At 36.7% G+C, this 14600-nt stretch overlaps 1 protein-coding gene and 1 long non-coding RNA gene across 51 annotated transcripts in view; both read left to right on the top strand.

Moving 5' to 3' along the window:
* MYO9A (myosin IXA) overlaps window positions 1-14600 on the top strand; it is a 296310-nt gene that overhangs the window by 182245 nt on the left and 99465 nt on the right. For all 50 annotated transcript variants that reach the window (XM_047432576.1, XM_047432553.1, XM_047432585.1 and 47 more), the window contains 2 exons: window positions 872-1015; window positions 2647-2686. In XM_047432576.1, the coding sequence (XP_047288532.1) occupies window positions 872-1015; window positions 2647-2686 (184 nt within the window). The remainder of the gene's footprint in view (window positions 1-871; window positions 1016-2646; window positions 2687-14600) is intronic.
* Window positions 2709-12492, top strand: LOC107984713 (uncharacterized). Its single transcript, XR_001751795.2, has 2 exons — window positions 2709-4275; window positions 4393-12492. It is a non-coding gene; the product is annotated as an uncharacterized LOC107984713 (long non-coding RNA).

Genomic DNA, 14600 nt, shown 5'->3' with positions numbered 1-14600 from the left:
ACCAACCTCTCTGCTTACTGCACCCCTCCACCTCATTACCTTTTCCAGTCTCTGGTAATCACTGCTCTATTCAGTACTTCTGTGAGAGCAGCTTATTTAGATTCCACATACGAGTGGGGTCATGCAGTATTTGTCTTTCTGTGTCTGGCTTATTTCAGTTAACATAATGTACTCTATGTTTGTCCATGTTGTCCAAATGATAGGATTTTATTCTTTTTTTAATGACTGAATAGCATTCCATTGTATGTATATACCACATTTTCTTTATCCATTCATTTGTTGTTGGATACTACTACTTTACCTGGTGAGTCCTCCATTAATTATGATGTTACAATCACTGTGATAGTGTTATGTTTTGTTCATTGCTATATCTGCAATGTTTAGAGTCTCATAGGACTTAGTTTAATGGGTGTGTGAGTAGTGAGTGTGTGTGTGTGTGTGTGTGTGTGTGTAAATAAGACCTTTCAGGAGGAAATTAGATATTCCATAGGATGGGATAGTGTATTAGGATGACAAATTCCTATAGTAGCATTTGAAAATTCTAAAATCTAACAAAGAGGGAAGATACTATAATCCATTTTATTAGTTACTAGTTGTTGAATGATAATATATTTAAAGATATCAGCTACATGATATGCTCATCTACATGCACGTTTGTATGTGAATATGATGGAATTCATAGGAATTTGTTCTGAATGAGACAACGGTTAGTCCCAACTGATTGGCAGTCATTTGGATGAAATCAGTTTTTGGTTGGTTTAGCATTTTTTTCTAAATTTTAACTTTAGTATTTAAAGTTTTATTTTACTTATTTAAGCAGTATAGTGTTAGAGACGTCTTCATTAACTAAAGCAAATTATATTTTTTACAGTGATACATTTGATATTGCCTGGAATGGCAGAACTGGGATTCGCCAGAGCAGACTATCAAGTGGCACCTCCTTGCTTGATAAAGATGGAATATTTGCTAATTCAACTAGCAGCAAACTCCTGGAGAGAGCCCATGGAATTCTCACGTCAGTACTAATCAGTAATGTAAATTGTTTTTTGTTTTTTGTTTTTTGTCTGGTTTAAAATTTCTGGCAGAAAAAAATGAAGAAGGAAGATGGTGAAATGTTATTTTCATGGGAAGAATTTTGACTGAAACAAGACTCAAAGTTATTTAGGTAGCGTTTACAGCCATGAATCTCATGTGTTATAAAGCTTGTGTTTTTGTTGATTTTTCTCCCCCATATTACCAGGAGAATCATGACTGAGTATATTTGTTATGGAGATGATAATAAAGGTCTTATTGTTTAGACAGGCCCTACCTTCAGAGAAAGAAAAAACTGTTAGCTCCTTTTAGGATTCCCAATTTTTACTATAATTATCCATTAATTCTAGCAATCTTAACAAATTAGGCAAGAAAATCTATAAATGGTGAATGGTTGAGTGATATATAACACTTATCCAAGCTTTCCATTTCTCATTAACTGATTACAGAGTTGGTTTGAAGACATAGCTATAACCATTCTCTACCATGCTTCATAGAGACCCCATCTCTCCAAAAAAAAAAAAAAAAAAAAAAAAAGAAAAGAAAAGAAAAAAAATTAGCCAGGTGTGGTAGTGCATGCATGTAGTTCCAGCTACTCAGGAGACTGAGGTAGGAGGATCAGTTGAGCCAAGGAAGTTGAGGCTGCAATGAGTCATGATCTTGCCATTGCACTTCAGCCTGGGCAACCGATTAACATCCTGTCTCTGAGAAAAAAAAAAAAAGGAAAAAAAGTTATTAGTTATTAGCATTAACATGTTTTAGATATTTCCCAAGCATATCGTTTGACCGCTAGCTAGAGGTGTGACTGAATTGGATTCCATAATCCTTGTCTGAATCACTGCTTAATAATATTAGTAGGTTCTATTTATGTAGGTCTTGCTCTAGCCCAGAGATATACATTAACTCATTTAATCCTCACAACAACTTTTAAGTTATAGGTAGTATTGTCCTCCCTGTTTTACATTATTACATAATGAAAAGTTAAAGAGGTTAAAATCATACCTTAATAGATGGTAGACCATAGATTGTTGTCCAGGTCTTTCTAACTTCCCAGCCCATATTCATAAGCGTTGGACTTTATTCCTTCTTTTCTGTGGCCATAAAAAAGGCTAAAAATAAATTAAAAAGACTTGATTTAAGTATGGTATTGAGGTTTGAATAAGGAAAAAAATGAGTGGAATAGAATTTTTAATTACCAAAAATGGAAGATTACGTTTTGGTGATAAGTACGTTTTTTTAAAATTTATGAAACTTAGACATCTCATTTAGTTTTGATATGATAGAAATAAGTCTTCTGTAGGTACAAGAAACTACTAACAACTGAAGAAAATGAACCTGTGGCTTAGAATGTACAACACAGTGTTACTAATCATCAGGTGTAAATCTGTTTATACTTATATAACAAGGCAGGTATCTTTTCCTTGTTTATTCTTCCTTCCCAAGGTGCCTGCTTGGCTGAATCAGATAGTGTTTTCATATAAAGAACCTACAGTCTTGGTAATGGGTATATAATCTGTTGTTTTAGGAGAGACCTTGAAATCTTTCTTCTCTACAGTAGCTTTTGTTTTTGTTTTTATACAGTAGCTTTTTTTAATGAATGATTTATCTCTATAGGAGAAACAAAAATTTCAAATCCAAGCCTGCCCTTCCAAAGGTGAGTACTATGAAAACTTTTTTTGTATTGGTATTCTGCTACACAATTATTTTTTATTACTCATACAATCTTCATACATCAAAAAACAAGAAATAACCTTATTTGTATCCAAGATAGTGATCGTGCACTTAGTTGAATCCATTTTAGAAATAACACTGTTATGAAATGGCTGAGCCTAATGGTTCAGGTAAATATTTATTTGTGATATATACCATTTTCTAGCGTTTTAATAGCTCCTGAATATAAATGTTGTTTAGTTATTGCCTCTTTATGTAAGGTCTTTTCATTTCTCCTTGAGCCAAGTTAAGGTCAAATTCTGAATGGTACCTGATTTTAAAATAATTTCTGATTAGTGCTCACCTAATCCAATTATCTATAATAAATGTTTGCCAGGTTTTTCTATAAAGGGACATTGTCTTTTCAGGCTTATGGTTTCTGATATAACTAGTTGGCTCTGCTGTTGTAGCAGAAATGCAGCTATAATTTGCATTCCAATAAAACTTTGTTAATGGACACTGAAAATTGAATTTTATATAATTTTTCACATGCCATAAAATATTATTATTTTAACCCATATAAACAATATATAAATAGTGGGCAGGATTTGGTGAGCAGTACTTGCCCCTCTGTTAATATAGCTCTGGTTTTTTTTTATTTTTTTATTTTTTTGCAGGGGTTGTTGTTTCATTTTGCTTTGTTTGTTTTATTAATGTGTATAGCAGCTTTATTTGTAATAGCAAAAAACTTGAAGCAACTCAAACTTTCATCAACAGAAATATGGATAAACACACTGTGGTATATCCATATAATTGAATACTTAACTCACCAATAAAAATGAATAAACTATTGATGCGTGTAACAACGTGAATGAATCTCAAAATAATTACATGCAGTAGTAGATACTGTATATAAATCTTAGAAAATATGAATTGCAGTGACAGAGAACAAAGAGGTGGTTTTAAACACACAGACATTTCCAGGGACTACAGCCCCCTGGATCAATGCAGATAAGCAGTTAAAAAGCACACTCCCCAGTTAATTTCTGGAAGGGGTTTGTCTGTATACTTCTCTAGCCATTGTTTGAGGATTGGGCTCCTCTCTAGGCTGCATCTAGTAGCCAATGGGCAAAGAAACAGCAGAACCCTGGGATACTGACTGTGAGTTCCAGCGTTTCCTGAGTTTTTTCATCTGGCTTGCTCCAGCAATAAAGCTAGAGCAGATTATCTCTGTAGATTATCCTTGGAAGGAGTTTATTCATGGATTGATCACAGCTGCCACTGCTCCCTCCCAAGGGATAGCCGCCTTAACCTTATAGTTCTGGGAATTGATGGGACACTGAATTTCTGAGTCTCTAGACCACTGAAAACAAATAAATGGGCATTCAGTGGGCCCACTTTTTTCCCCCAAGATGAGATAATGCAGTCTGATCTAAAATATAGACGTTTGCTAGAATTCCTCTCTTCAGCGTAGTGCAGAGAGAATCCTACTGTCAGCTTCACCACGAGGATAGAAGGAACTGGAACACACTTAACACTTCAACCTTTCTAGCTGTGTCTAGGGGGAATGACTTCTCTCTCAAATGTTTTGAGGTACTAACGGAACTTGGCACATCCTAATTTCCTGGAGACAACAAAAAACAAAGGCAGCAGTTTGGACAAACACAAAGGTTTGAGAGGTACCCTAGAATTTCTGGCCAGACTTTTGAGGTACTAACGGAACTTGGCACATCCTAATTTCCTGGAGACAACAAAAAACAAAGGCAGCAGTTTGGACAAACACAAAGGTTTGAGAGGTACCCTAGAATTTCTGGCCAGACTGACTGGTTAGGTTCTTCTACACTAAACAAGATTGGGAGAAGCTATTAGGTTATCTAATGTGCAGAAAACAACACAGAGGGTAAAGGCAAATGAAGAAATGGGGAAGTATGTTCCAAATAGAGAAACAAGATAAATTCAAAAAATACCTGAAGGAGAAGAAAGAAAAAGTGAGAGAAAACACTTTCAAAGATGTAAAGGCAGAAAACTACTCAAGCCTGGGGAAATAGAACTCCAGATCTAGAAAATTCAAAGGACACCGAATACTATCCATCCAAAGAGATCCTTATTAAGACATGTTATAATCAATTTGTCAAAAATTAAAGACAGAGTATTTTTTAAAAAGCAACAATGAAAAAGCAACATGTTAAATACAAGGGTCCCCCACAAGACTATCATCAGATTTTTCATGAGAAACCTTGCATGCCAGAGTTAGTGGGATTCAAAATCCTCTGAGAAAAAAGACCTGCCAACCATAGTACTATGCCCAGCAATTTTGTCTTTCAAAAATGAAAAGGAGATAACAACTTTCTCAGACAAATGATGGCTAAGGGAATTCAGCACTGCTAGACCTGACTTACAAGTAGAGTTCTACTTTCTTGAACTTCTTTCTTGAGAGTTCTCTAAAGAAAGTTCTTCAAGCTAAAGGACAGTGATAATTAGTACCATGAGAACATGAAAGCAGAAAACTCACTGATAAAAGTAAGTACACTGTCTAATTCAAACATTTTAATTATGTGATGCCAGTGTGTAAATCAATGATATCTCTAGTATAAAGGTTGAAATACAAAACTGTTGAAACAATGGCAGCTACAATAGTTTGTGAAGGGACACAAATTATAAAAAGATATAAAATGTAACATCAAAAAGATAAAACATGAAGGGTGAGTAAAAGTGTAGGGTTTATGCATGCAATGAAAGTTTAGTTTTTGTAAGCATAAAATAGCCAGTTGTAAGTATATGACTGGCTTTTTATGTAAGCCTCAAGGTGACCACCTTTAGTGGATACACAAAAGATAAAAGGATGGAAGTCATACTGCTATAGAAAACCATCAAACCACAAAGGGAAGACAGAATTATTGGAAGAAAGGCTCTACAAAATGATAAAATAATGAACAAAGTGGCACTAGTAAATCTTTACCTATCAATAACTGGTTTGAATGTAAATGGATTAAATTCTCCAATTAAAAGCCACAGAGTGCCTGAATGCATTAAAAAAAGAGAGACTCATCTATATGCTACCTGCGAGAGACTCACTTTAGCTTTAACGATGTACAGAGAATGAACATTAAGGGATGGAAAAAAGTATCCCACGCAAATGAAAACCTAAAGAGAGCAACAGTAGTTATCCTTATAACAGACAAAATAAAGTCAAAAACTGTAGATGAGATAAAGAAGGTCAACATATAATAATAAAAAGGGGTATGGTCATCAAAAGGATGTAACAATTTTAAATATATATGCACCCAACATTGTAGCATCTAAAAGCATGAAGCAAATATTGAGACATCTGAAGAGAGAGATAAACTACAATACAGTAATCCTAGGGGATTTCAGTACCCCACTTTCAACAATGAACAGACCATCCACACCAAAAATCAATAAGGAAACAATGGATTTGAAGAAAACAGTGGACCAAATGCATTTAATAGACATATACAGAACATTTCAGTCAACAGCAGCAGAATACACATTCGTCTGAAGCATACATAGGACATTCTTCAGGACATTACAGGCATTGAGCCACCATGCCTGGCCAGCAATAGAAATTCTTTCATAAAAGATTAGCCCAGGACCAGATAGTTTCATGATGCAACACTACCAAACATTTAAATAAAAATGAATACCAGTCCTATTCAAACTCTTTCAAAAAATTGAACTGGAGAGAATACCTCAAACTCATTTTATAAGGCCAGCATTACCCTGATAGCAAAGCCATACGAAAGTACTACAAGAAAATTAGTTCAGCTACTACGGAGAAGTTTGGAGATTTCACAAAGAACTAAGAGTTGAACTCCCATTCAACCCAGCAGTGCCATGACTGGGTGCATGCTCAAAGGAAAATAAATTGTTCTACCAAAAACACATGCACCTGTACATTCATTGCAGCACTATTCACAGTAGTCTTTGCTGTTGTAAATAGTGCAGATATCTTCATCAAAATGCTACTACACCATATTCAATACGACATTGAAAGGATCATTTACCATGATCAGTTGGGGTTTATTCTTGCGATACAAGAATGGTTCAATATATGCAAATCAATAAATGTGATTTATCATATTAACACAGTGAATAGCAAAAACCATACTGTCATTTCAACACATGCAGAAAAAGAATTTGACAAAATTCAACCTGTCATGATAAAAGCTCAACGAATTAGGTATAGAAGGACTGTTCCTCAATATAATTAGGCGATATGTGACAAGCCCACAGCTGACATTATACTCATTGGTGAAAAGTTGAAAGCTTTACTCTTAGGATCAGGAACAAGAAAAGGATGCCCACTGTCACCACTTCTGTTACACTTCAATTCAGTGTATTACTGGAATTGTTAGCCACAGAAATTAGGTAATAAAAAGAAATAAAAGGCATCCAGATTCAAAAGGAAGAAGTGATATTGTGGTTGTCAACAACATAATGTTATATAGAAAATCCTCAAGACCCCACTAAAAAGCTGTTAGAACTGATATATAAATTCCGTAATGTACTTCAGTAATGTTTCAGGATACAAAGTCAACATACAAAAATCAGCAGTGTTTCTTGCTTTTTTTTTTTTTTTAATAGAGACAGTGTATCACTCTGCCACTCAGGCTGAAGTGCAGTGGCATGATTGTAGCTCACTGTACCTTGAACTCATGGGTTCAAGCAATCCTTCCACCTCAGCCTCCTCAGTAGCTAGGACTGCAGGTGCATGCTACCACATCTGGCTATTAAATTTTTTTTTTTTTTCTCGTAGAGATGGAATCTTCTTTCTCTGTGTTGCCCAGGCTGGTCTTAAAGTCTTAGCCTCAAATGATTTTCCTGCTTTGGCCTCCTAAAGTACTAGAATTACAGTCATGAGCCACTGCACCCAGCCTAAAAATCAGTAGCATTTTATAAACTAAAAATGAACTATCTGAAAAAGAAATTAAGGAAACCATCCCATTTACAATAGCATCAAAAAATATAAACTATTTTATAGTAAATTCAACCAAAGAGGTTAAAAATCTGTATACAAAAAAATCATAAAACATTGATGAAAGAAATTGAAGACAACACAAATGAAAAATGATATCCTGTGTTAGTGGGTTGGAAAAATTAATATTGTTAAAATCTCCATATTGCCCAGAGTGATTCACTGATTCAGTGCAATCCCTATAACATTCCATTTTCATTTTTCACAGAAATAAAAAAAATCCTGAAATTCATATGAATACACAAAAAAACCCCAAATAGCCAAAGCAATCTTGAACAAAAAGAACAAAGCTGGATGGAGGCTCACACTACCTGATTTAAAAATATATTAGACAGCACTTTGGGAGGCCGAGGCGGGTGGATCATGAGGTCAGGAGATCGAGACTATCCTGGCTAACAAGGTGAAACCCCGTCTCTACTAAAAATACAAAAAATTAGCCGGGCGTAGTGGCGGGCGCCTGTAGTCCCAGCTACTCGGGAGGCTGAGGCAGGAGAATGGCGTGAACCCGGGAAGCGGAGCTTGCAGTGAGCCGAGATTGCGCCACTGCAGTCCGCAGTCCGGCCTGGGCGACAGAGCGAGACTCCGCCTCAAAAAAAAAAAAAAAAAAAAAAAAAAAAAAAATATATATATATATATATATATATATATATTAGAAAGGTATTGTAATCAAAACAGCATGGAGCTGGCAGAAGAAAATATACATTAACCAATGGAAAAGTATTAAAAGCTCAGAAGTAAACCCGTACATTTATGGTTAGTTGACTTTAAACAAAGGTGCCAAGGACACACAATGAGTAAAGTATAGTCTCTTCAATAAATGATGTTGGGAAAACTGGATATCCACATGTAGAAGAATGAAATTGGGACCATATCTCACCCCACATAAAAAATCCAACCAAGTAGGTTAAAGACTTAAATATAAGACCTGAAACTGTTAAACTTGAACACAGGTTTGAGCTGTGCAGGTCCGCTTATACATGGGTTTAAAAAAAATAAATACAGTCATCCATATCAGGGGGATCTACATCTGTGACCAAATGTGGATCAAAATATGGTATTTGTGAGATGCAAAATCCACCCTTATGGAGGACCAACTTTTTGTACCTGTGGGTTCTGCAGGGCCGGCCATGGGATTTGAGTATGTACATATTTTGTTATCTCAGCGTGGTTCTGGAACCAATCCCCATGGATATTGAGGGACAATTGTAGAATAAAACATACGGGGAAAACTCTATGACATTGGTCTGGCTGTTGATTTCTTGACTATGACCCCCAAAACACAGATAACGAAAGCAGTAATAGACAAATGGGATTGCATCAAACTCAAAAGCTTCTGCACAGCAAAGGAACTAATCAACAGAATGATGAGACAAACTGTAAATGGGAGAAAATATTTGCAGACTATGCATATGGCAGTGGGTTAATGTCTAGAATATATAAGCAGTCCAAACAACTTAATAGCAAAAAAGCAAATAATTTAATTTAAAAATAGCCAAAAGACATTTTGCCAAAGAAATGTCTTAGGGCCTGAGGATCAGCCTACCTGGCAGCCCCACCCCTGACAGTGCAGCTCCTGTGATCATTGGATTTGTGCCCTCCCCGAGGGCCTGAGGATGGGCCCACTTGGTGGCCCCACTCTTGCCAATGCCACCCCCATGATGAGTGGATTTGTACTCTTACCCAGGTCCTGAGGGCCAGCCCACCCAGCATCCCCACCCCTGATGACGCTGTCCCTACAACTGGCTGAACTGGTGCATTTTGTGTGTGCCTTCCAGAGCCAGTGGACTGGTGTGTATCCAATGATGCCACCTCTGAAACCTACAGAACCACTATGCTTTGCATGTGTACCCTGCAGGGTCTGAGGGCCAGGCTGTCTGGTAGCTCTGCTCCTGGTGACACTGCCTTTTCATTTGCTAGAACAACCATGCTTTGGACATACACCCTTGGCATCAAGATAGCTTGTGTGGCGGCTTTCCCCACAGCCACACTGTCACCCAGGCTGGAGTACAGTGGTACGATCGTGGCTCACTGCAGCCTCTACCTCCCAAGCTCAATCAGTTCTCGTGCCTTAGCCTCCCAAGTAGCTGGAAATATAGGCATGTACCACCATGCCCGGCTAATTTTTCTGTTTTTGGTAGACAGGATCTCACTCTATTGCCTGAACTTGTCTTGAACTTCTGACCTCAAGCAGTCTTTCTGCCTCGGCCTCCCAAAGTGCTGGGGTTACAGGTGTGAACCACTGTGTCTGGCCCACTGCACTTTAAAACAAACAAACAAAAATATGCAGGGTCTCATTATGTTGCCCTGTCTGGACTTGAACTCCTCAGTTCAAGTGATCCTCCAGCCTCAGCCTCCCAAGTTGCTGGGATTATAGGCATATACCACGGTGCATGGCTTGGAACTGTCACTCATGCCTTGCGCATGCCCCCCAGGACCAGAGGACTGGCTTGCTTGGTGGCACCAACATAGTACTGGAAAAGCACACCAACTTTGTAAACACCCGTAGCCTAAGTCACTGAGGCAGTAACATCGGATGTTGACTACAGGTAAAGAAATTACACAGAGACTACACTGCTGCACCTACCTAGAACCAAAGCTAAAGCACCCTACCCATTTACCACCTTAGGATCCATCTACAGAAAATGTCTTCTTAAGAAAGTTACCCCATAAAATTGGAAGAGGCAGCTGTTTCACCTAATGGCACAGGTCAATACGGGGACACAAGAAATATGGTAAGATAACTACCGTGATAAAAATATGCAAAAGAATAAAACTCACTGGTAGAAGTCAATTCAGAATCCAATTTAGAACTGTTAGAGGTAATTTCACTTTCAAACTCAGAATATATTATTAATGTAATGGTGGCATATAGTCTTTTAAATCTCTAGTATGATGGTTATAACTCAAAATGGTAAGTGATGTCTATAGCTACAATTAAATGTTAAGTAACACATGATTTTAAAAAGATGTAAATTAAGGCAGCAAGTTATAAATTGTGGGGGGATGGGGATAAAAGTCTAGCGTATTTGTATGCAAAGTTGTTATCTGTTTAAAATAGTCCATTATAAATACAAGATTTTAAAATGTAAGCCCCATAGTAACCTGAAAGAACAAAACGACAGCAGATACATAAATAAGAAAGAGAAAAGAATTAAAGCTTAACTCTCCAGAAAACCACCAAAACAGACAGATAAATAGTAAGAGAGGAAGAAAGGTTATATATAGATATACATGTATATACGTATCTATATATACATATACATAGATATGTATATACGTATATATCCATATACACGTATATACGTATATATGTATATATACATGTAAGTATATATGTACATATACGTATATATGTACATATACGTATATACGTATATATGTACATACACGTGTATACGTATATGTATATATGTATATATGTGTATACGTATATGTATATATATGTGTATATATGTGTATATATACACATGTATATATGTGTATATATACACATGTATATATGTGTATATATACACATGTATATATGTGAAGGAAATATTATTAGCCCTAAAGGGAGAGAGAGATAGCAATACTGTAATTATAGGGGACATCAACACTCCACTTTCAGCAATGGATAGGACAACCAGACAGAAAATCAGCAAAGAACGATAGAGTTAAACTGCACTCAAGATATATGAACCTAACAGACATTTACAAAACATTCTGCCCAGCAGTTGTAGAATACACATTTTTTTCTTTTTCTTTTTTTCTTTTTTTTTTGAGACTAAGTTTCATTCTTCACCTAGACTGGAGTGCAGTGACACGATCTCGGCTTGCTGCAATCTCCACCTCCCGAGTTCAAGCGATTCTCCTGCCTCAACCTCCCAAATAGCTGGGGTTACAGGCATGTGTCACCACACCCGGCTACTTTTTTGTAGTTAGTAGAGATGGGGTTTCACCATGTTGGTCAGGCTGGTCACGAATTCCTGACCTCAGGTGATCCACCCATCTTGGCCTCTCAAAGTGCTGGGATTACAGGCGTGAGCCACCACGCCTGGCCCACATTTTTTTCATTAGCACATGGACCTTTCTTTAAGATATGTCATGTGTTGGGCCACAAAACAAGTCTCAATAAGTTAAAAAAATTTCAAATTGGGAGCCGGGGGCCTTGGCTCACACCTGTAATCCCAGCACTTTGGGAGGCCAAGGTGGGCAGGTCACGAGATCAGGAGATTGAGACCCTCCTGCCTAACACGGTAAAACCCTGTCTCTATTAAAAATACAAAAAATTTAGCCAGGCATGGTGGCAGGCGCCTGTATTCCCAGCTACTCAGGAGGCTGAGGCAGGAGAATGGCTTGAACCTGGGAGGTGGAGCTTGCAGTGAGCCGAGATCACGCCACTGGGCTCCAACCTGGGTGACAGAGCGAGACTCCATCTCAAAAATAATAACAATAATGATAATAATAATAATAATAAACAAAATTTCAAGTTGGGGAGTATCTTTTGTGACAAGGGATTAAACTAGAAATCAATAATAGGTTCTTTAGAAACTATATGCAAATAGTTTTTAAACAACATGCTTCTGAACTACAAATGAGTCAAAGGAGATACTAAAAGGGAAATTAAAAAAAAATTTAAAGAAATGAGAATGCAAATGCAATGTACTAAAACCTATGGTCTACAGCAAAAGCAGTTCTAATGGGGAAGTTTATAGCAATAATTGTCTACGTTAGTAAGTGAGAAAGATCTCCAGTAAACCACCAATAACATTATTCCTCAAGGAACTAGGAAAAATGAGAACAAAATAAACCTTAAGTTAATAGAAGAAGAGAAATGATAAAGATCATAGCAGAAATAAGTGAAATAGAGGCTTAAAAATACAAAACGTTAATGAAATTAAGAGTTAGTGTTTTGAAAAGATAAAAATCGACAAATTTCTAGCTAGACAAAATTTTAAAAGGAAAAGATTCAAATTCAGAGATGTGAAAAGGTGACATTATGGCTGATATTACAGAAATATAAGGGATCATAAGAGCCTATTACTAACAACTATAAGGCAACTATTTGGAAAACCTAGAAGAAATGGGTAAATTCCTAGTCACATACAACCTACCAAAATTGAATCATGAATAGAAAATCTGAAGAAACCAGTAACAACTCTGAGTTCAAATCAGTAATAAAAAGTCTCCCATTGAAGAAAAGTCCATTACATGACAGCTTCACTGCTCAATTCTACCAAACATTTGAAGAAGAATGAGTCTCAGTCCTTTTAAAACTATTTCAGAAAAATGGAGAGGAGAGAATTCTTCCAAATTTATTTTCAAGGCCTTGATAAGAAAACCAGACAAGAACACAACAAAAAAGAAAATTGTAGGACAGTGTCTCTGATTGAACATGGATGCATAAATCCTCAACAAACTACTAGGAAACTAAATTCAATAGCACATTAAAAAGATAACATCATGACTAAGTGGGATTCATCCCAGGGATGCAAGAATGGTTTAACATATGCAAATCGGTAAATGTGATACATTAACAGAATTAAGGGAAAAAATTATACAGTTATTTCAATAGACACAGATAAAGCATCTGACAAAATTCAACACTCATTCATGATAAAAACTCTCATGATATAGACAGAACAGATGTACCTCAACATAATAAAGACCACATGACAGACTCACAGACAGCATACTAAACAAGGAAAAATGGAAAGCTTTTCTTCTGTGATCTAGAATAAGACAAGGATGCCCGCTTTCACCACTTTCTCTATTCAACATAGTACTGGAAGTCCTAGCCAGAGCAAGTAAGCAAGAGAAAGAAAAAAAAGGCATAGAAATTGGAAAGGAGGAAGACACTAAATTACCTAATGTTAAGTACATTAGTAATTATCAATTATTTAGTGCTTGATATTTGTACATATTTGCTCCCCAGGAATTAAAAACTGGCTACTTAATGAATGCTAATTAAAATTAAAATGTCATATTGTTTTTAAATAAAAGGTTTCTTTTAACCATAACAACAACAAAAAGCCAAACTCATAGCAGTATATAATAGAGTTTTGATTCCCAAAGGTTTGGGGTATAAGGGTGGGAAAGGGAAAGGGACAACACTGGTCAAAGGATAATGTTTCAGTTAGACAGGTTCTAGTGATCTTTTGTGTAGCAAGTTGAATATGGTTCATAATAATGTATTATATATTTCAAAGTTGCTGTACAAGTAAATTTCAAGTGATCTCACCGCAAAGAAATAAGTATGTGAGATATTTTATTTAGCCTGATTTAATCACTACTCAATGTATACATGTGTCATAATATCACATTGTGCCCCATAAATATATACAATTATTATTCATCATTTTAAAAAAGATGAAAAACCAAAAATATACAGTGACCTAAAGTAGATTAAAGATTGCCAGAGGCTGGGTGCGGTGGCTCACGCCTGTAATCCCAGCACTGTGGGAGGCCAAGGTGGGCAGATTGCCTGAGCTCAGGAGTTCGAGACCAGCCTGGGCAACATGGTGAAACCCTGTGTCTACTAAAAATACAAAAAATTAGCTGGGCGTGGTGGCACGTGCCTGTAGTCTCAACTACTCAGGAGGCTGAGGCAGGAGAATTGCTTGAACCTGGGAGGCGGAGGTTGCGGTGAGCCAGGATCGCGCCACTGCACTCCAGCTTGGACGACAGAGTGAGACTCCATGCTCAAAAAATAAAAAAAAAAGTAGAAAAAGATTGCCAGGAAGCAGCATGCAGTGTTTAGGGAAAAGAGAGGACTTGCAAAGTGAGAGAAGGAACAAAGAAAGCATTAGGGGCTATGGATATGTTCATTATCATGATTGTGGTGATGGCTTCATAGCTATGTAAATATGTCATAACTTATAGTGTATACATTAAATACGTGCAGCTTATTTTGTTTCAGTAAAGCTATTGGAAAAAAGATCAT

This window comes from Homo sapiens, chromosome 15 (genome assembly GCF_000001405.40).
Source record: "Homo sapiens chromosome 15, GRCh38.p14 Primary Assembly".
NCBI lineage: Eukaryota > Metazoa > Chordata > Mammalia > Primates > Hominidae > Homo > Homo sapiens.
Note: the sequence above shows the minus strand (reverse complement) of the source record. Positions and strands in the feature narration are given on the sequence as shown.